This window comes from Homo sapiens, chromosome 8 (assembly GCF_000001405.40).
Source record: "Homo sapiens chromosome 8, GRCh38.p14 Primary Assembly".
In the NCBI taxonomy this organism is placed as follows: Eukaryota; Metazoa; Chordata; class Mammalia; order Primates; family Hominidae; genus Homo; species Homo sapiens.
This window is the reverse complement of record NC_000008.11, coordinates 79,849,904-79,872,144: the sequence shown is the minus strand read 5'-3', so window position 1 is coordinate 79,872,144 and position 22,241 is coordinate 79,849,904. Positions and strand designations below refer to the sequence as shown.

Genomic DNA, 22,241 nt, shown 5'->3' with positions numbered 1-22,241 from the left:
CCAGTTTCATAAGCTGGTTATGAATGTAAGACTGACTGATAAACAGATCTGACTTTTTCTGGAGGGGGCCTGGGCAGGAGCGGTATTAAAACTTTCTGCAAAATTTCTCCTAAGTTTCACCAAATAACAGAAAGCTGTGTCTGTTGGTCAGCATTACTAGTTTGTGGAAGTTGGGTCAGCATTACTGGTTTGTGGAAGTGGCTTTACCCTCTCATATTTGCTCATAGTCATTTTCCAAAATACTTCTAGGTTTCTAGTTAAAGTACTGTTGCCATGCCAGGCCCCTGAATTATGGCGGACATCTGAGGCCAGGACCAGGAACTGCCAAGGCTAGACTGGGAATGGAACAAAAGGAGAGCCAGACCCGGGAGCTGGCAGGACCGGGGATTGCTTAGAAACTAGCGGTTAAAGATGGAGTCTAGGGAACAGTCGAGAGTCACGCAAATGTTAGAGGTGCCCTTGGCCTCATGAGTGGTCGGTAGAAGGCGGCTGCAAGGAGCCTTTGAAATGGTGCCGAGTTCTTCCTCTGCCAGAAAGCCTTTCCTCCGCGCTGACTGTGTCAAAGGCTACTCCCAGGTGTGCTGAGCAGGGGAGCCGTGTGGGGGGATGGCCATCGAGTTAACCTCTAGAGAGGGGACGTGTGGGCTGCACAGGATTCTGGGGGGCTGACCTAGGAGGGGCAGCAGTGCAAGTCCTCTTACTCCTGGTCCTGTGCTCCTTTTAATACGCCACGCTGCTGCTGCCTCTGATCCGGAAAGCTTTTCTGATACAATGGCGGCTCCTCGTCTTCTTCCATCTCTAAGGAGATTAGTTAGTTACAAGGCAGGAAGTTGAATAGCGTCAGGCTTTAATCTCCTGGTTATTCTGAGGTTGTTTGATGTTAGCTCTTCCTTCAGACCAGGGCTTTGAAAGGGCTTATTTTTTTTCTGTGACAGAGAAATGACCAGGACACAGCCATATATTAAATTCCAAGGGCCCTCACATCTATTTGCTTTGTGTATTTTGTGTACAAATATACATGATGATTTTTAGAGAATATTGCTCTCTTTTTTCTCTCTCTCTTTAATGCATTTGTTTCTTGCTCCTGTTTCCTCTTAGCTCATTTTTATTCCATTAGGTTGTAGCTGGGCTGATTCTCTGAGTGTGCCTTCTCAGCCTGTGGGGTGAATACAGGATTAAGAACACAGACAGAGCCTGACAGCCACGTTAATTGTTTACTTACTTACTATTTAACACATAATATCAGGCTTGTTTCTCTGTTTCCTAGCAGCTGGAGTGAGATATCCTCCTGCTCCACCGTAAAACCTTCTGCTGCAGCCTAAGTTGACATATCCAGCCTGAATTTTAGATTCTTACAAAACAAGTTCAAATTTAATGTTTTGAAGAGCATCCAACTAGAGTAATAAAATACTATTTAGAACGAGTTTTTAGAGGATCTGTTTTACTAAAAAGAGAACAAACTTCATAATTGCCATTTCAACTATTCTTAAATGGCATATCAAATAACTTCACAACACTGAAAACTTCATGTTTTTACTTGTTTTATAAATTCTATAATCAGTTTTATGTTATTTGTTTGTTTAGTAAATGCTTGTTTTTAAACCATAATACAAAAGTAAAAGACACTTCTGTTTCTATATACATTACATAAATGTCGATTGTAAGTGTAATTGTGTTGTTAGTTCCTATGTGGAATACGGGCTACAGTACGTGGGCTGCACCCATCACCAGTCGAGGTTTCCTTTACTAATAGGTATAATGATCTTTTTGTGAACAATCATACATTCCTGCATAATTAATTGAATCTTTGTGTTGTCCAAGAAAGACAAACCCAGCTTTAGGACCTGAGCTTGGCTGAGCAGAAACAGTACAACGTTTTGCTCACGGGCTTCCAAGTTTGAATGTGGTATCATTTTTTCAAGAGATAATGGGCTTATAGTTCTGGGTTTGATCATCTCTGCCATGTGATATTTTCCTTTGATTTTCAGAGCACTCCAATCATTGTTCAATGGAAGACTTAAAAGAAGCCCTGTGACTCGGGCTCAAATCTGAATAAGATAGTTTCGAAGGAGAAGGAAGAGAAGTTAGATAAAGATGAGAATTCAGAGGCGGAGAAGTAAGGTGAGAGTCTGGGGCAACATGCCTGCCTGGTGTGTTCTAGAGAACCCAGCAAGTCCCATCACAAAAACCTCCAATTAAGCCTCAAAGCACAACAAATTTTCCTCTTATCCAGAGAGAATATTATATCTTTCTAAAGAAGCAGCATATGGGAGCTGCTGGGAAGGCTTTCCAGTGCAATTAAAAGGCAGATAGATCAGAGAACGCAGGGCTCCTGAAGCTGTCTGATCTCTTGCCTATGATTTGTCTCAAGTGCAATTGACAGCCCCAACTAGCAATTACAATGCAGAGACTGGTATAGCTGGAGACTGGTCCAACAGGGAGGGAAGGCTTGACCATTTACATGCAGTTAATTATTAAGGGCTGTCAGATGTCAGAATGGGAATTGGTAATATTGTGGTTAAACGCCCACCACATGTCTAATTTGAGTTGTGCCCACTACCTCCAGCACCAGTTCAAATTAAGTCTACATTAATGTCTGATGACTCACAGCTGTGCAGCATGCAACTCCGTGTACTCCAGGGGTGGGAGGGGAATTTGCATACCAGTTAGTGCCAGATAATGATTATGAAAGATGTGCATTTCTCTTTGTTGGAATAAGTACCATATAAGCCAAAGCGATAGTTACTGTTTTAAAACCATCTTCATGCTTAAGAAAATGTTGATCTGTAAATTAGCTTCTTGGTGCGATGAATTTCGCTTAAGAAAGGCAATTCCAGGTGAAACAATTTTCATGTTGTCAATGGGTGCCAAATAGGCCCCAAAGAGATCAGAATATGGCCAAATGAGAATTGAAATAAAACCTGTCTTTATAATAATTCTCTATTAAGCTTGATGAGAGTTTATGTTTCGGGCTGCCAAAATACTCTTTTTGTTTTTTTTTGGATGACAATGATTTTGAATGTAGTGCTCCAAGTGGGCCCCTGGAGCTGTGGTCATGGTGCCCACCTGCCTAGCATTTGGTGAAGGGAGTTTTCTGGGGGTCTTCCACCATGCCAATGATCTCACAGCAGGTTTCTACCCATCCAGACAGGCAGAGAGCAGGTGTCACTCGGCTCAGAGGTGCACTCTGATGGTGGCCAGGGACTTCGGAAGCTTTGAGAGCGATGGCCGATTTCCAGCAATCCAGAGGGCTGTATGGGGAACCCCTCATGCAGAAATATTTTGGGGTCCTGGGCAAACATATGGTTTTGTGATATGTGGTAAGCAGAGGGGAATGGAAATTGGTGGTGGGAGCCAGGTGGGCATATTGGCATTCCATGCTCTTGGCCATTCCATGGGCTGGCTTGCTGGAAACTACATGCTTAGAAGGAAGCTGGTGTTAGGCACTGTTTATTATGAAAAAAAAAAACACTTCTGAGAAGACCAAAACAGGAATCCTTTGTTTATAAAACAGATGGTATAGCCTGTCCTTTCATCAAAAATCATACCATTTTTTCCTTTATAAAAAAATTGATAGGAAATCACCTCAAAAACCAAGTCAAAGCTTAAAAAATCATGTTCATTCTTGGCACTAGAGGTCTTTTGTTTTCTTTTACTTAGCTAAAAATAAAAATATATTTAATGACAGACAGATGAAGGAAAAATAGGACTTTGATAAGGTTTAAGCATTTTCAATGATGACTACAGAAGCATTTAGAAAACACAAGAGGATGTGAATGTGTCACATGCTTGGGTTTCATGCTAAACAGACAGCAGGAGCTATGGAATGGAGACCTCACTTGGGGCCAAGAGACTATCTGTTTCCATTGAAGTTCCTAAAAAAACCCTTTGTGGGGAGGCGGCCTCCAAGCGGGAGCAGAAGGCCAAGTGCAGGCCTCAGCCTGGTCACTCTGGTTAGTGTTCTCTTTCTGTCCTCCAAGTGGGTGATTAGAAAGCCCAAACATAATGATCTGTTATGGACAGAGATCACAGTGCCTGCGGTTTCCAGAAGCTGCTGCTGACATGGTCTTGACAAGAGCACCAGCTCAGGGGTCACTCGAGTTGGAGCTATGGGCTTGGCGCCATGAGAAAACTTCAGTACTGGGGACCGTTGAGCATCACACAGAGTGTGAGGTGGCTTTCTTTCATCAGGTGTTTGGTCTGAGCTAGACTACTGCTTCTCTCTGCTCATCACTTATTTCAAGTAGAGTTATTTCCTGATGGTACCCAGAGACTTGGTCATGACTATTGAAACCATAATGCTTCCTAAATAATAATCAGGCATACTGACTGTACAGTAATAATTCTGCCATTCAGGGCCCATCTGAAACCAACAAGTGTGCAGTATGCCTGCAACACTTGTATGATAGGACACCTGTTTGCAAACTCGTTTTTCTTTTTGGTCTATTCCTCTGATTTCCTGTTTTCAGAAACACCAAATAGCCTGCCCTTCTGCTTTGTTAGCAACTTCTCTATCTTTCAAAACTGTCAGTTTGATGAGTTGTTCTAGATTTAATACCACACTTCTTAAAGGGCCTGACTTCCTGGGTGGTAGATGCAGTATAAAGGCTGGGATAGAAACTACATTTGTGTCCTAATGTCTACTGGGTCCTATGAAAAATGGTACCCAGGAAAGGATAAATATTTGTCCCAAGATGATGTAAGTTGATAAATTTTACTAAATTGGTAAAGGCAGCCTGCAGGAGCCACAGAACATACCAGTCAGTTTTGCTCTGGTGCTAGATATGGTCCCTTGCCTGGGAGTGAACTAGTTCCCCAGTCCTAAAGAATGAAGTCCACTGTGGGTGTGAGGGGGTTGCATTCTCAGTTGGGAGGGATGGAGGGAAGCTGCCAAGCTTGGCCCAGCCTTGCCATTTCATCCTTTGCTAGCTGGCCGGCCTTGAGCAAGTTATTTAGCTCTTTAGAATCTCAGTAACTTGCTTTGCAAAGTCAGGGAAATAACACCCTCATAAGTTTGTTATGAGAAACCAGTGACACAGACCACATGGGCATTATCCCAGTACCAGACACATGGCAAGAACTTGACTGATGTGCCTTTCTTTCCTCTGTCTTTTTCTCATTACTTTATATTATGGTTATCTTAATGACAATATCTTTTCTTTTTAGTTATTACACAGAGTTTTCATAACAGTTTCATGCAGATCATTATTTTCGATAATGTATTTCTTACTTTTTTAGCACTTACCAAAAGTGTCACCAATGTAGTTGTTATGTAACTATCTGTTTTATGTTTGTCTTCTCCTTAGTATGTAGTAGCTCTTTGAGGACAGGGCCCATGCCTGCCTAGTTCATTTCGGTATTCTTGGTGCCTCCTATTACCCGGCACAGAGGACACACTCAAAACCTTTGTTGGGTAAATAAATCAATTCTTTTTGTTTTTCCTTTTCTTTTTTTTTTTTTTTGAGATGGAGTCTCACTCTGTCACCCAGGCTGGAGTGCAGTGGTGCAATCTCGGCTCACTGCAAGCTCCGCCTCCCGGGTTCACACCGTTCTCCTGCCTCAGCCTCCCGAGTAGCTGGACTACAGGCACCCGCCACCATGCCCAACTAATTTTTTTGTATTTTTAGTAGTGACGGGGTTTCACCCTGTTAGCCAGCATGGTCTCGATCTCCTGAACTTGTGCTCTGCCCGCCTCAGCCTCCCAAAGTGCTGGGATTACAGGCATGAGACACTGCGCCTGGCCTAAATAAATCAATTCTTACAAAAACCCAGACTCACGTGGGGTAGGGGAGAGAGTCCCGTTGGAAAGATGGGTGCTTGATGGACAAAACAACAACAACAACAAAACCAAACAAACCTGTAGCTGTCCAATCTCCCAGGTCTTCTGATTTCTGCTCTAATAGCCAATAAACCTTGTTGCTTCTCAATGGCACTGGGTTTTCTCTGGCATAGTCTTGTCCAATACTTAGGTACCTGAGCTGGGGGTCAGTTTGAATGAAAGGATAGTAAGAACAAATAGTGAAAAGTTCATTAAACTACAAGCCTTGTAATTTCTGCTTGGAAAACCTTGGGACAAATTAACCATGTGCTTTAATTATCAGCCTCATCTGGGTCATGTCTGCTCTAGGCTTCAACCCTGCTGAATTCTCTCTCATGTCAGGTTTTGTGTACATGACATTTCCTTTATCTTTATCCTCCATTGACACACACACCCTCCTCTGCCTGCCTAACTCCTGTTTATTCTTCAGAGCTCAGCCCAGGGGCCCCTCTCTGTACCACACAAATTTAGGTTAGGTCCAGTTTTAGGTGCTTCCAAATTGTGTATTTCACCCTTTATCTAAAGTGTATCATGCTACATTGTAATTTCCTTACTTATCTGTGTTCCTTTCCAAACCTTAAGTCTCCAAAGAGCAAGAAATAGGTTTATTTCGTATGCTCAGGACCCGGAAGACTGCCTGGCATAAAATAGTTGGTGCTCAAAAAATGTTGTCAACTGAAAATATAAGGTAGAAGGAGAAAGTCTCGTATAAATTCCTCTCCCTCATTGATAACCACTTTAATTTTTGGCAAGACAGATGAAATCAACAACATAAAGACAATATAACTGTGTGTGTCACATAGACAATATAGCTATACGAGGATTAGAGAAAATATATTAAAATGATTAAAGACAACAGGCTTTTCAATTTCACTTGCAAACTAAGCCATTTATTTATCTTCCCCACTATGGATTGGCTTTTTGAAAATTAGATAAATGAAATTGGTCTGACCCCTTTGGAATTTTTTATTGTTTCTACACTGATTATTTGAATTGCATGTGTCTCCATAACTTTGGTTCCATTTGCAAAAGGAAATGAGGCCCACTGTCTTGGATACCTACATTTTTCTCTGGTCTCCAGCACAGGTGAGCAGCACAGCCCTCGTGCATCAGGTCTTAGATAAGTTCTTTAGGAGCCTTTCAGTTAAGTAAAGTATGAGAACTTTCAGGGTTTCCAGGATCTAAGCAACCAGGAACAATTCCCCACTGTTTTCAGCAAGACAAACAGAAATAAAAGAGGGGAGGGGAGAGAAAACCCTGGTCTCTGATAAATAACCTTTCCATATGAAGTGCACATCAGTCTGACACAAGTAATTAGCTGTCAGGTGCTGGGCTTTGCTGTCAGAGGCCAATTTTCAGATTAGTGTTAATTGCAGCCCCCCCCCCCCGCCCTGCCCCCCGGCCTTCGAGGGCCTTTGCTCCCACCCCTCAGCCCGCAGCAGGCTCCCTTCCCCAGCTTGCTGCCAGTGTGACTGCAGCCTAGAGTAATGGAGCTGGCAGGGTGGAATCAATTACTGGCCAGTGAAGATTTTCCCACAGGTCTGGGCTTGGGAAAGGAGGGCTATTCCTGCTGCCTAGACAGCTGGCCTGACTGTCCACTGGGAAAGGAGCCTACCCAAGGAGAGAGAGGGGCTTGCTAGTGATAAACCGCTGACAGCCCATACATTATTGACAAGATTTGGCAGAGAGGGGCCTCTGCTACCTCTGCTCGTCCTGGTTCTCTTTGAGTTTTGTGCTTGCACCGACTACTGCTTTATCCCAACATCTTGCTGCCCACATGAAAGTACACACACGGAAAAACCCAGTTCCCATTTGCTCATGGGTTTCAGTCCAAGAGGAAAAAGAAAAGGAAGATGGGATGGGGTTATTACAGTCTAACAGCAATATTTGGAAATAAATTATTTGTGCAATTTTTCTATTTAATTTTTTTTTTTTTTGAGATGGAGTCTTGCTCTGTGGCCAGGCTGGAGTGCAGTGGCGCAATCTCGGCTCACTGCAACCTCCACCTCCAAGGTTCAAGTGATTCTCCTGCCTCACTCAGCCTCCCGAGTAGCTGGGACTGCAGGCACCCGCCACCATGCCCAGCTAATTTTTGTATTTTTAATAGAGACGGGGTTTCACCATGTTGTCCAGGATGGTCTCGATCTCTTGACCTTGTGATCCACCTGCCTCGGCCTCCCAAAGTGCTGGGATTACAGGCGTGAGCCACTGCGCCCGGCCCCTATTTAAATTTTTTTGTCATGATGAGAGTCATGCTTTGTGTCATTTTGGTTCAGTTGTATTCACCCCATGTAATTCATGATGGAACCTGTGCTGGGGCCACCTGAGTTTTATGGTCACTTCCAAAGTTTTGAGATATTTTGAATTTTAGTCAGAGGATTCATTTAGAATTGCACTTAAACAATCCTAAACTCAAAGTTTTGAGACATTTTGAACTTTAGTCAGAGGATTCATGTAGGATTGCACTTAAAAAATCCCCGGCCAGTCATGGTGGCTCATGCCTGTAATTCCAGCACTTTGGGAGGCTGAGGTGGGATTACGCTTGAGCTCAGGAGTTCAAAATCAGCCTGGGCAACAAGGTGAAACCCCATCTCTACAAAAAATACAAAAATTAGCTGGAGCTGGACATGGTGATGCACACCTGTAGTCCCAGCTACTCAGGAGGCTGAGGTGGGAGGATCACTTGAGCCCTCCCTTAAGCAGGAAATTGAGGCTGCAGTCAATGCACTCCAGCCTGAGTGACAGAGCAAAACCTTGACCAAAAAAAAAAAAAAAAAAAAAATCTTGCCCCTTCATGTTTTCTGCTTAGCAATAATAATAAAATCTCCATGAAGATGTTTTGCTTTCAATTTTCCACTATCGTTTATGTCTTTATCTGAAATTTTGAGCAAGAATAACCACTTGAATGTAGGCAAACTAAAACCCCACAGTGTTTTAATAATACCACTGACTATTCAAGAGCAGAGAGTTCATATTAAAGTACCAAAATCCATTTACAATAATATAAACATTTCAGAGAAACTTTCGTCTTTGAAAGATGCATTAAACTGTTTAACTTTCCATAAAATAGACATTAAAATAAGACAAGAAAACTACACTGAAAGAATGATATAAAAACTAATGCCACATTATAACAAATTAAAACGTTTATACAAGAAAATCTTTTCTTAATAACCTCTTAATTGATTTCCCTTTTATCATATGTTGTTTTCTTTTAGGAAACTAACACCAGGTTGAATTTTTTTTCTTTCTGTTTTGCACATAAAATGTCTATGGATCTAAGAGAAAGTTTAACTGTATAATTGGAACAGTCTTTGATTACAATCACTCAGTTCAAAATTAAAGTAGATAAATAAGCATGGGTCTGGAATGTTAAGAAAAAAAAAGTGGGCTGTTGCAATAAAACAGGTTCATATCCCTTGAGTGACAAGTTTCAGATGCTAGGCCTAAAAGGTCTCTTGGAAACCTAACAACTGGGATGAGAAATGCAAGTTCGAGATTCACTAGCCATACCTCCTGTAATCAAAGAAAAATGATCATGCAGAGTTCCCCTAGCTCTCCCTTGCAAAAAGTGATTCCCCGCTCTTTGCCCTGGAAGAAGGCTGGGGGTTGGGGGGCATAGGAGGTGGAATTAAGAATCAAGAATGCTCCCGCCTGTTCTGTGCACAGGAGGGGAGGGCTTATAGGTGACTTCTTTCAAACCACACCTGTGACAATGTTAAATGATTCTAAATTCCGGAATGAGGGGTTTGTGACCAAAGTTCTGTGGTGCAATGTCCTGGTTAAACTCTATGGAATCTTGAATCCCTGGTGACTGACATGTAAAATGATGTCATTAGTGTCCTTGCTTTAAAAAAGTCCCTATCAGATGCCCTCTCTCACCACTCCTGTTCAACATAGTGTTGGAAGTTCTGGCCAGGGCAATCAGGCAGGAGAAAGAAATAAAGGGTACTCAATTAGGAAAAGAGGAAGTCAAATTGTCCTTGTTTGCAGAAGACATGATTGTATATCTAGAAAACCCCGTTGTCTCAGCCCCAAATCTCCTTAAGCTGATAAGCAACTTCAGCAAAGTCTCAGGATACAAAATCAATGTGCAAAAATCACAAGCATTCTTATACACCAATAACAGACAAACAGAGAGCCAAATCATGAGGGAACTCCCATTCACAATTGCTTCAAAGAGAATAAAATACCTAGGAATCCAACTTACAAGGGACGTGAAGGACCTCTTCAAGGAGAGCTACAAACCACTGCTCAACGAAATAAAAGAGGATACAAACAAATGGAAGAACATTCCATGCTCATGGATAGGAATAATCAATATGGTGAAAATGGCCATACTGCCCAAGGTAATTTATAGATTCAATGCCATCCCCATCAAGCTACCATGACTTTCTTCACAAAATTGGAAAAAACTACTTTCAAGTTCATATGGAACCAAAAAAGAGCCCACATTGCCAAGTCAATCCTAAGCCAAAAGAACAAAGCTGGAGGCATCACGCTACCTGACTTCAAACTATACTACAAGGCTACAGTAACCAAAACAGCATGGTGCTGGTATCAAAACAGAGATATAGACCAATGGAACAGAACAGAGCCCTCAGAAATAATGCCACACATCTACAACTATCTGATCCTTGACAAACCTGACAAAAGCAAGAAATGGGGAAATGATTCCCTATTTAACAGATGGTGCTGGGAAAACTGGCTAGCCATATGTAGAAAGCTGAAACTGGATCCCTTCCTTACACCTTATACAAAAATTAATTCAAGATGGATTAAAGACTTAAATGTTAGACCTAAAACCATAAAAACCCTAGAAGAAAACCTAAGCAATACCATTCAGGACATAGGCATGGACAAGGACTTCATGTCTAAAACACCAAAAGCAATGGCAACAAAAGCCAAAATTGACAAATGGGATCTAATTAAGCTAAAGAGCTTCTGCACAGCAAAAGAAACTACCATCAGAGTGAACAGGCAACCTACAGAATGGGAGAAAATTTTTGCAATCTACTCATCTGACAAAGGGCTAATATCTAGAATCTACAATGAACTCCAACAAATTTACAAGAAAAAAAACAAACAACCCCATCGAAAAGTGGACGAAGGGTATGAATAGACACTTCTCAAAAGAAGACATTTATGCAGCCAAAAGACACATGAAAAAATGCTCATCATCACTGGCCATCAGAGAAATGCAAATCAAAACCACAATGAGATACCATCTCACACCAGTTAGAATGGCAATCATTAAAAAGTCAGGAAACAACAGGTGCTGGAGAGGATGTGGAGAAATAGGAACACTTTTACACTGTTGGTGGGACTGTAAACTAGTTTAACCATTGTGGAAGTCAGTGTGGCGATTCCTCAGGGATCTAGAACTAGAAATACCGTTTGACCCAGCCATCCCATTACTGGGTATATACCTAAAGGATTATAAATCATGCTGCTATAAAGACACATGCACATGTATGTTTATTGTGGCACTATTCACAGTAGCAAAGACTTGGAACCAACCCAAATGTCCAACAATAATAGACTGGATTAAGAAAATGTGGCACATATACACCATGGAATACTATGCAGCCATAAAAAAGGATGAGTTCATGCCCTTTGTGGGGACATGGATGAAGCTGGAAACCATCATTCTCAGCAAATTATTGCAAGGACAAAAAACCAAACACCGCATATTCTCACTCATAGGTGGGAATTGAACAATGAGAACACTTGGACACAGGAAGGGGAACATCACACACTGGGGCCTGTCATGGGGTGGGGAGAGAGGGGAGGGATAGCATTAGGAGATATACCTAATGTAAATGACGAGTTAATGGGTGCAGCACACCAACACTGCACATGTATACATATGTAACAAACCTGCACGTTGTGCACATGTACCCTAGAACTTAAAGCATATAAAAAAAAAGTCCCTATCAAATTATTCTGCTTTGGCCGGGGGTGGTGGCCCACACCTGTAATCCCACCAGTCGCACTTTGGGAGGCCAAAGTATGACTGTCACTTGAGGCCAGGAGTTCAAGACTAGCCTGAGCAACACAGTGAGACTTCATCCCTACTAAAAATTTAAAAATTAGCTGAGTGTAGTTGTGCATGCTTGTAGTCCTAGTTGCTCAGGAGGCTGAGGTGGGAGAATCCTCTTGAGCTCAGGAGTTTGAGGTTGTAGTGAGCTGTGATGATTTCCACTGCACTCCAGCCCGGGAGACAGAGAGAGGCCCTGTCTCAAAACAACAAACAACAATGACAAAAATCAAAACCAAATTATTGTGCTTTGTATCTAACCTGGAACAGTAGTCCTGTGATGTGATTCACTAATCCAATTTCTGTTTTTAGAACATTTGCCAACTTTGTCCCATGATTTTGTTGCCTGCAAAATATTATTCTCCTTATTTTGAAAAAAATGGAGATATACAGCGGGGCTAGGGGCTGCTCTTCTGTGCCATTGTAGTGTCCTAACAAACCTATTAGACCATTTATTACATTCTGAGGTTCTCAGACACTCATCCGCTCCATCAGAGGTCCTGCCACCCACTGGGGCACTGTTTGAGGTGGGTCAGGTCTGTCGAGCTACTTATAGGACAACCTTCTCTAAATTTCAAATGATGGGGTGATACTGGGGGACATCTCCATCCCCTTTCTTTCTGAGATCAAGAGCTGTCACTTACTTCCAGGACTGTTCTTCCATTAAGGAGGAAGGAGAAGTTACCAAATACCCCAGTCTTCTGTTAAGATGACATGGTGCTGCACAGAGAGAGGCAAGAAAAAGTTGTTATCGAAAATACTGGGCAATTTTGATTATTGGGAAGCATTTTGAAGCTAAAGTTTTTGGATTATATATTTACAGAGGTCATTTACACTTTGGTCATTCAACTCTATAATAAACATACCTATGAAGCAGGAGTATCTTTTGCTTTTTTGAGATGGAGTCTCGCTCTGTTGCCCAGGCTGGAGTGCAGTGGAGCAATTTTGGCTCACTGCAAGCTCCACCTCCTGGGTTCACACCATTCTCCTGCCTCAGCATCCCAAGTAGCTGGGACTACAGGCGCCCACCATCACACCCGGCTAATTTTGTTTTTGTATTTTTAGTAGAGACGGGGTTTACACCACGTTAGCCAGGATGGTCTTGATCTCCTGACCTCGTGATCCACCCACCTCGGCCTCCCAGAGTGCTGGGATTACAGGCTTGAGCCACTGCGCCTGGCCGCAGGAATATCTTTTATAAACATTCAGTTAATGCTTTTGAATTCCTTTCTTTGCATCTCCCACCACCTGATAGCTTCCCACCCCTAAGAAGCCAAGTGAGAAGGGCAGATAGGGTGAGCCCTTAACAATGAGCTTGGCTGGGCGCAGCGGCTCATGCCTTTAATCCAGCACTTTGGGAGGCCGAGGCTGGCGGATCACCTGAGGTCAGGAGTTCGAGACCAGACTGGCTAACATGGTGAAACCCTGTTTCTATTAAAAATACAAAATAAATTAGCTGGGTATGGTGGCAGGCACCTGTAATCCCAGCTACTTGGGAGTCTGAGGCATGAGAATCACTTGAACCCAGGAGGCAAGTGAGCCGAAATCAAGCCACTGCACTCCAGCCTGGGCGACAGAGTGAGAGTGCATCTCAAACAAAAAACAGCCTTTAAAACCAAGAAGAAAGGGGTATTGTTGTAGATTCTTTTGGCTCTTCATTAGTCCCTAGAGAGCCAGCTTGTCCCATCAGATTATAAAGATTGCCCCATAGTTTAAACTCCTGTCCAAAAGACCAAAGTGTTAAATTCAGAGAAAGGTTGCCTCTTTGAGCCAGTGGATTTGGGGAGGAGAAGGAAAGAGGGAGGAAGGGGATAGGAAGAAGAGTGAAGATGGTGTTCCTTTCTCCCCTCTGTATGTTTCAGTCTGAGAGGGATAGATAAGTTAGATAAAGTTGGGGACCACCAAGGTCTGGGGTCTCTTTCCCTGCTTCTCACCTGGGACTTGAAAACAATTCACTTTGCTGGGGCCCAATACCACCATTAAGCATAGTTCAGTCAGTGGTGCAGTGTGGTTAGATGGAGAGAGGGTCCAGGGTGCACCCGGAGCTGCCCTTGGGAGTCAGTGAGTCCCAAGGGGCCTGCTGTGGGAGGGTGAGGGGGTCTTAGAGCAATGACTGTGTGAGACTGGGAAGCCAGGTGGAGAATGGGGCAGAAACCTGGGGGAGTCAGTGGCCAACAAAAGCCAAGGGGAGGTGGATTCAGCAGGGAAGAGTCCCTACGCCCTGACTGGCTGAGAAAGAATAGACTGTAAGTTTATCAGCTGCAGGATATTAGCAACGGACACCAGCTGAATGCTCAGGAACCACTCAAGCCAGTGATTCCCCGGCGGACCTTGGAACAGCCACTGTGCAGCTGGTCTGGAGAACAGCCGGCCAGTCCCGAGGCCCAGTCACCCTGCCTCCACCAGGTCAGGGGGCTGCTCAGTACACAAGCCACCCTTCGGGGCAGGACTGAGGGAGGAGAAGCAAAAAGGGAGAGGCTAACCTAACGAACTGGTTAAGTGCATTGCACTGAATTAAAGCTAAGACGGAGATTTAGTTATTGTTTTCTCACTTCCTAGCCACTGGGGCCAAATCAAATCAAATGCAGAGGAAAAATAAACACATTTCTCTGCATGTCCGAGGTGCAGTGTGAGTATTCGTGGTCCCTCTACCTCTGCGACTGTTTTCTCAGAAACTTAAATCCTCTAAGCCTGGATCACGCACATCTACGTGGATTGGCAAGGTGAGCAAGGCCTCCACTGCTCAGGCTTCTGTTTTCTCGTGTGTAAAATGACAGCAGGTGTTAAGATGTTCTCTCATGTTTTTATACCCACAAAATTCTATAAATAGGAAGAGGAAAGCATGCTCCATGGTCCTGGGTGGGATGTGGTAGTGCTTTTCAAATCTTTCCACCAGTTTTCCAGTGGCAGAGAAGAGAGAGATTGTGCCTTCCAGGGTTGTTGTGTATGTGGCTTAAAGCATTCCCCTGCAGGCAGGAGATTTCTTTATAGTTCTGTGTTTTATTTTTTACTTTTATTTTTTGAGATGGAGTCTTGCTGTGTCACCAGGCTGGAGTGCAGTGGTGCAATCTTGGCTCACTGCAACCTCTGCCTTCTGGGTTCAAGCAATTCTCCTACCTTAGTGTCCTGAGTAGCTGGGTCTACAGGCGCACACCACCATGCCCGGCTAATTTTTGTATTTTTAGTAGAGACGGGGTTTCACCGTGTTGGCCAGGATGGTCTCAATGTCTTGACCTTGTTATCTGCCTGCCTCAGCCTCCCAAAGTGCTGGGATTACAGGCATGAGCCACCGTGCTTGGCCAGTTCTGTGTTTTATTTTAAGAAATTCATATATGCCTTATATTTCATAATATATGTGTGTTCGTTTTAATACAAAAACAATGCTTTAAATTACGCACAATTGACTAAAACTGATGCACTGGAAGATATACCAAATTTTATCCTATGGCTTCCATTACTTTCTGGCATGCTGCTCTAACCCTGGGGAACACTAGTGAGAAGTCCGGGTTGGGAATGCCATGAGGATTCACCTAGGCTGGCATATTTTTCAATGTAGAAGTTTAAGTCCTAGACCTAGTGACCAGAAAGAAGAAACATTTCCCCCAACCCCCGCCACTCACCTTCACCTCCTACCTCCTTATGGGGCTTCGGTTAGGGTAGCCCTTGAAGAAGAACAAGCAGAGATACTGGTCCAGGTCTGGTATTTTCATTTTTAGAGACAGGATCTCGCTCTGTTGCCCAGGCTGGAATGCAATGGCACAATCATAGCTCACTGCAGCCACTGACTCCTATAGGCTCAAGTGATCCTCCTGACTCAGCCTCCACTGTAGCTAGGACTACATGCGTGTGCCACCACACCCAGCTAATTTTTTAACAAATAACTTTTTGTAGAGATGGCGCTCTCACTGTGTTACTCAGGCTGGTCTTGAACTCCTGGCCTCAAGTGATCTTCCTCACCTCAGCCTCCCAAAGCATTGAGATTACAGGCATGAGCGTGGGATTACACAGCACCTGGCCATGGTGGAATTTCATCACAACCCTAATCTGCTCCCCTTCCCCACTTCTATCTCCATAAACCCAGAGGACATGGCTCTGGCCCCTCTTAATAGCTCTGGCCCCTCAAAGGTTTTAAAATATGTGTGTGCTGTCAAAGGGGGCCAGGATAATGACTTGTGGAAAACCGCTGCCAGTTTTGCCTTTTGCATTTCACCATTTCCAATTTTCTTGCCTTGCTTTTGTTAATTAAATTCTAATCACTTAAAAAAAATATTGAGGATGATAGTAAACCAACACAGGAACAGAAAACCAAATACTGCATGTTCTCACTTATAAATGGGAGGTAAATGATGAGAAGACATGGACGCATAGAGGGGAACAACACACACTGGGGCCTGTCAGAGGGTGGAGGGTAAGAGGAGAGAGAGGATCAGGAAAAATAACTAATGGATACTAGGCTTAATACCTGGGCAATGAAATAATCTGTACATCAAATCCCCATGACACAAGTTTTCCTAGGTAACAAACCTGCGCTTGTACCCTTGAACTTAAAATCAAAATTTAAAAAATAAATCCATATTTCCACTAAATGTAAACGTAAACATCCAATTTCCTAAAGCAGAATGTGCTATACGTATTTGCCTCAAAAAAAGTAAAATAATAAGGCAAAAAAAAAAAAAATCAAGGATGAACAAGAATGAATATAACCTTCCAGAATTCTTTTGGGTTGTGTCCCTGTCCTGATTAGTGACGCTAGGCAATAAATGAATGTGTGTACACGTGTGTACACACAGGCGCTCAAGTTGCTTGCTCACACACAAACACACATTCACCCTCACATGCCCCAACCACCACTCTAGTCTCACCCCACAGCAAACATGATGAATTCACATCCTGAGGGGGTGTACCATCAACAAAATCTGACCGGAGGAAACAATTTCAATTCAATCAGAGGCCTCCTGTGGTTGAAGTTTACAAGGAGTGCTGCCAAATCCCACTCTTTGGCGGACAAAGTGTGCAGACATTGGGCCTGTTGGGAGGGTGAGGCGAGTTTCTTACTTTTAAAAGAGGGTCAATCCAAGATGTTTGTATTATTTCAATACTGTTTTTCCTATGGAGCCAGGGGTTGGTGGGGTGGGGGTGGGAAGTTCTTTCCTTGTTCCTGATATTTTCCAGAGATCAAAATTAAAACACAATGCGCTAAGAGTAATCAGCAAGCCTTCAGAAGAATTGCATGTACTTTTGATTTCTATAAAAACCCACACAACACTTCTTTAACTCTTAATTATGTGCAGAGGTGCACAGCTGAGCAGGGAGATTTAGATCTCTGCACAGATATCAGCTTCCTAAACCTTCTGCGTATTTAGCCGGTAATTTGGGGGCCACAAACACCAGGAAGTGTTTTTCCCTTATCTGTTAGCATTTGGTCCTGAAGAGTTAACAGAAGTCAATTTGTGCTCTTTGGAAAGTTTCTGTGTGAGACCCACAACATGGACATGGGCTTGTAAGACTTTTGACTAACCATGCATCCTTTTACTCACTCAAATAGCAAGTAAACCCCACCTCTGTGATCCAGGCACTGTGCCTGGTACTAGGCATACAGAATGATAACAGAAAAAAGTGCCCTCAGGGAGCTTTCTGTCTAGAAGGGGAGGCACAAACAGAGAATGAAATGCAGATTGTTAAATGATAGGAGAGGTGGTGTATTTAGCTTTTCCTGGGTAGCAAGGAGCAGAATGCCACTCAAATAGCTCATATAAGGGCAACAGGAATCACATGGAACCAGGATCAGTTTTCTTGACAGGTCTCTGGGGAAGTTGAAATACCATGTCAAAGTGGAAAAGAGGTATAGGGTCCCAGGCAGTTTCATTTTATTTTATTTTTTTGAGACAGAGTCTTGCTGTGTCTAGCAGGCTGGAGTGCAGTGACACTATATCGGCTCACTGCAACCTCAACCTCCCAGATTCAATTAATTCTCCTGCCTCAGCCTCCTGGGTAACTGGGATTACAGCCGTGCACCACCACACATGGTTAATTTTTGTATTTTTAGTAGAGACAGGGTTTCCCCATGTTGGCCAGGCTGGTCTCGAACTCTTGGCCTCAGGTAATCCGCCCGCCTCAGCCTCCCAAAGTGTTGGGATTACAGGTGTGAGAGCCTGGCCTGGGCAGTTTTAATAACTACTCTTCACTCAGCCACACCTGTTGTTGTGACTCAGCTCCTCTCTGCTTTTCCCACTTCCGCTTCCTAATCTCACTCTACCAGAGTAACTTCTCTATGGCATGGCTCTGACTTACTCATCCTGGCTGCTCACTCGTGGCTTCCCCTGACTGCCTTGGGAGATCTGAATACTGTCTTCTCTCTTATGTATTTCAGCTTTTCCCCCTGATACCAAGTATCCAATCTGATGCTCCAAATGAGAGGATACTATAGTCTAATATAATCAACTCATGTCTTTTAGGCAAAGTTTTTATTTCTGCCCACTGAGAGGCTACCAATAGATCAAATCTCCTTGGCTTCTGATGAATGCATGGTCCTGTCTGCTGTGGCCACGGGGCTGGGCATCCCCCATTGCAAGTTATGAGAGGCACACAGGGTGACTTCCCTGAAGGGAATTCTTGGACAGACCCCTAGAAGAGGGGACTGTGGTCAAAGCAGTCGGTGTGAATATGGACATAAACACAGAGGGTTATGGGAACACAGAGGAAGGCTACTAACTCAGACAGGCAGCTCAGGAACAGCTTCACAGAGGAAGCTATCCCAACACTAAACTTGAGGGAGGAGAGGAAGTTGCTCCAGAGTGGGCCGCAGGGTGATGGGGTTGGAGGTGGAATAACGGTAACCCCAGCAGAGTAAACTTTAGTGTGAATGTCGTGTGTGTGTGTGTGTGTGTGTGTGTGTGTGTGTGTTTGTGTGTGTATGGTGTGGTGCTATTATAGTTGTTTGATTGTTTGGTTTGGTGTTTTGTTTTTCCTTAGCTCACTGCAATCTCCGCTTCCAGGGTTCAAGCGGTTCTCCTGCCTCAGCCTCCTGAGTAGCTGGGATTACAGGCACCCGCCATCATGCCCAGCTAATTTTTGTATTTTTGTGGAGAAGGGGTTTCCCCATGTTGGCCAGGCTGGTCTTGAACTCCTGACCTCAGGTGATCTTCCCGCCTCAGCCTCCCAAAGTGCTGGGATTACAGGCATGAGCCGCCATGCCCAGCCTGTTTGGTTTGGTTTGAACTCAAGCTGAGAATCTCTGCCTTTGCTTTGTAAAATTAGTAACCTATTCAAATTTATTATGACTACTGGCACCCTTAGATTTATTCCTACCTCTTTTTCTATAATTTCTATTTTAAGTCAATTTGGACATTTCAAATATAGTAAGGAAAAAAATTTTGGACTATACTTTGTCCTTGTCCTTATCTTCATTTTACAATGTGCTATCTTTTACTAGGCGCAACCCTGGAACCAAACAAAGATTATGAAAGGCTATAAAATGACTCAGGGGGAATGGCTGGCGTTTGAATCCCTGCAGAAAATAGGGCATTATGAAATTAACTTGTAATGGAGGATTGAAAGGCTTGGACATTTGGTTTTGAAAGTACATATTGTAAGCTTTTATTTTTTTCAAAGTTATACATACTTGTAGTTTAAAAGTCAACTAGTTCAACAAGGTCTGCTGAGAAAAAGTCTCCAATCTCCCTTCCCTATTTTCCCCTTCCCCAAATGGAGCCACTCTCCTCTCTCAGTTGACTTTTTCTGTTTGCCTCCATGACTCTAAATAACATGATCACAGAGCTACATTTTGATTCTTCCTTCAGTTTTAAGAATTGAATATTGGGCCTGGCACGGTGGCTCACGCCTGTAATCCCAGCACTTTGGGAGACCAAGGCGGGTGGATCACGAGGTCAGGAGTTCGAGACCAACCTGACCAATTTGTTGAAACCCCGTCTCTACTAAAAATACAAAATGAGCTGGGCGTGGTGGCATGCGCCTGTAGTCCGAGCTACTTGGGAGGCTGAGGCAGGAGAATAGCTTGAACCTGGGAGGTGGAGGTTGCAGTGAGCTGAGATTGCGCCACTGCATTCCAGCATGGGCAACAGAGTGAGACTCTGTCTCAAAAAAAAAAAAAAAAAAAAAAAAAGAATTGAATGTTAACTTCCCACTATGGAAAATGAAGATTTAATGCTCTTTACTGCACCCCACCCAGATAAATTTTCTATTTCCCCATGTCTAACTTTCTCAAAATGGTAATATTGCACTATAATTAATGAACGTGTATGCTATTCATAGTAGAGCCATTTAAGAAGACCATGATTAATTTTCTACACAATTTATTGTTTTCTCTGGTTAACAAGTGTTTTTTCTTCATTGGATGGATTTGTTTCTTTTTTTTTCCATAGATTTAGGAATTCAATCCCAGAATCTCCATTGTTTAATTGCCTCTCGAGATGTTCATTCTCTCAAGTCCAACTTCTTAAAGAAGTTTCTCCTGGAGCCAGACCTGCTCCTTCTGGGCTGGTGCCCTCTGTGACTGGTGCACAGCGGCCATCTCAGATCTACCTTTCCCCGGATACCCATTGCCTCTCAATGTTGAGCCTCCTGTTTTCCATCTCCTCTTTTTCATTTTGTTCTCTTGCTTTGCTCCAGAATACTTTCTATTAGCTTCTTGAGAAAGAGTAAGTGGGAGGTGAATTTTAGTAGAGCGTGAGTTTGCTTTGGCTTTGGGCTGCCACAGCAAAGTACTGTAGACCGAGTGGCTTAACAACACAAATGTATTTTCTCACAGTGCTGGAAGCTAAATGTTCCATATTATGGTGGCAGCTGATTCAGTTCCTGGTGGAAACTGTCTTCCTGGCTTCTAGACAGTAGACAGTAGCCTTCTTGCTGTGTCCTCACAAGGCATTTCTTTGGAACATGTGCCTGGGGAGGAAGAGAGGGACAGAAGAAAGACAGAGATAGAGACAGAGAGAAGAAAGAAAGAATTTCTCTACTGCCCCACTTTTTTTTTTTAAGACAGGGTCTTGCTTTATCACCTAGGCTGGAGTGCAGTGGAGCAATCACAGCTCACTGCAGCGTCGAACTCCTGGGCTCAAGTGATCCTCCAGCTTCAGCCTCCCTGGGTAGCTGGGACTACCGGTATGCCAAATTATGCCCAGCTGAATCTCTTCTTATAAGAACACAAATCTAACTTCATTTAAAGTTAACTGTTCCTTAGAGGCCTTGTCTCCAAATATAGCCACACTAGGGGTGTTAGGACTTCAACATATGAATTTTGGGTAGACACAGACATTCAGTTCATAATACATGTGTTTTTTTTTTAAGGAAAGCTTTATTCTATTTAATATTTTCTTGTTATTTTGACAAGGTATGCAGTTCTAGGTGAGAAATAATTTTCTTTTGGAATTTAGAGGTCATCACTCCATTTATTGTTTTGGGTTGCTTGCCTTGTTCCTATTGAGAAGTTTGAAGTCATTCTGATCTGTAATCATTATTACAAGAACTGTTTCTCCACATTGCCATTTGTAAAATCTTTGTCCTCAGTCTAAAATTTAACTGTGATATGTTTTCTTGTGGATTTATTTTCATTCATTGTGCTGGCACTTAGAGGCCTTTCTCAACCAGAAACTCAGATAAATTTTGTTGAACTCTTTCTTTGATTATTTTCTTTCCTTTCTTCTGAAGTTCTTTTATTCTAGAACTTAAATTTTCACATATTGTACCTCCTGGATTGATCCTTAATTGTCTTCTCTCCCCACTCCCTGCCTTTTCCATCTTTTTTAATTTTTGTATTATTCTGGGAGATTTTTATAGCTTTAACGTCTAAACTTTCTACACAGTTTTTAATTTCACATGTTTTAAACTTTTAAATTCAAACTTTTTTATTTTTAACTTGGGAAATAAAAATTATATATATTTATGGTATACAACATGATGGTTTTGATATATGTATGCATTGTGGAATGGCTAAATCAAGCTAAATAACTTCATATTTATTTAATTTCAAAAGGCACATTTTTGCTTTTTGGATGTTTCTTTTTGTTGTTATTTTATATCATTTTGCTTCTATTTCTCAGATGTGATTTTTTTAAAACTCTTAGAAGATATTAATCTAAAATGTTTAAAGTCATTCAAAATTTTTTCTTTGGCATGCATAGTCTTGAGTTCCTCTAAGACACTTTTTCTGTGTGCAGACTCTGAAAGGATCTGGCTCTCGCCTCTCATTCCCACCCCGTTTTGGGTGCACAGACCACCCTTTTAGAGCCATTGGCCTAATTGCTGTGGCTGCAGTGAGGGCAACGTCAGTGGAATGGGTGGTAGAGGAAGCAAGAGTGCAGTGGGGAGAACTAAATGGAGAAGTGATGAAGATAAGGAGGGCAGGCCTTCCAGGGCACTTGTTCATAG

The 22,241-nt window shown here is 42.9% G+C and overlaps 1 long non-coding RNA gene across 1 annotated transcript in view, besides 1 other annotated feature; it reads left to right on the top strand.

Moving 5' to 3' along the window:
* Window positions 1-407: 407 nt before the first annotated feature.
* Window positions 408-22,241, top strand: part of LOC101927040 (uncharacterized) — a 102,366-nt gene continuing 80,532 nt past the window's right edge. The window contains exons 1-2 of the long non-coding RNA NR_110954.1: window positions 408-576; window positions 1,989-2,121. This is a non-coding gene — a long non-coding RNA (uncharacterized LOC101927040). The remainder of the gene's footprint in view (window positions 577-1,988; window positions 2,122-22,241) is intronic.
* Window positions 17,977-18,271: an enhancer, noted in NCBI's record as "tiled region #4298; HepG2 Activating non-DNase unmatched - State 24:Quies, and K562 Activating DNase matched - State 5:Enh". NCBI's record gives its function as "activates a minimal TATA promoter and a strong SV40 promoter by Sharpr-MPRA in HepG2 and K562 cells {active_cell/tissue: HepG2 | K562}" and the evidence as "EXISTENCE:reporter gene assay evidence [ECO:0000049][PMID:27701403]".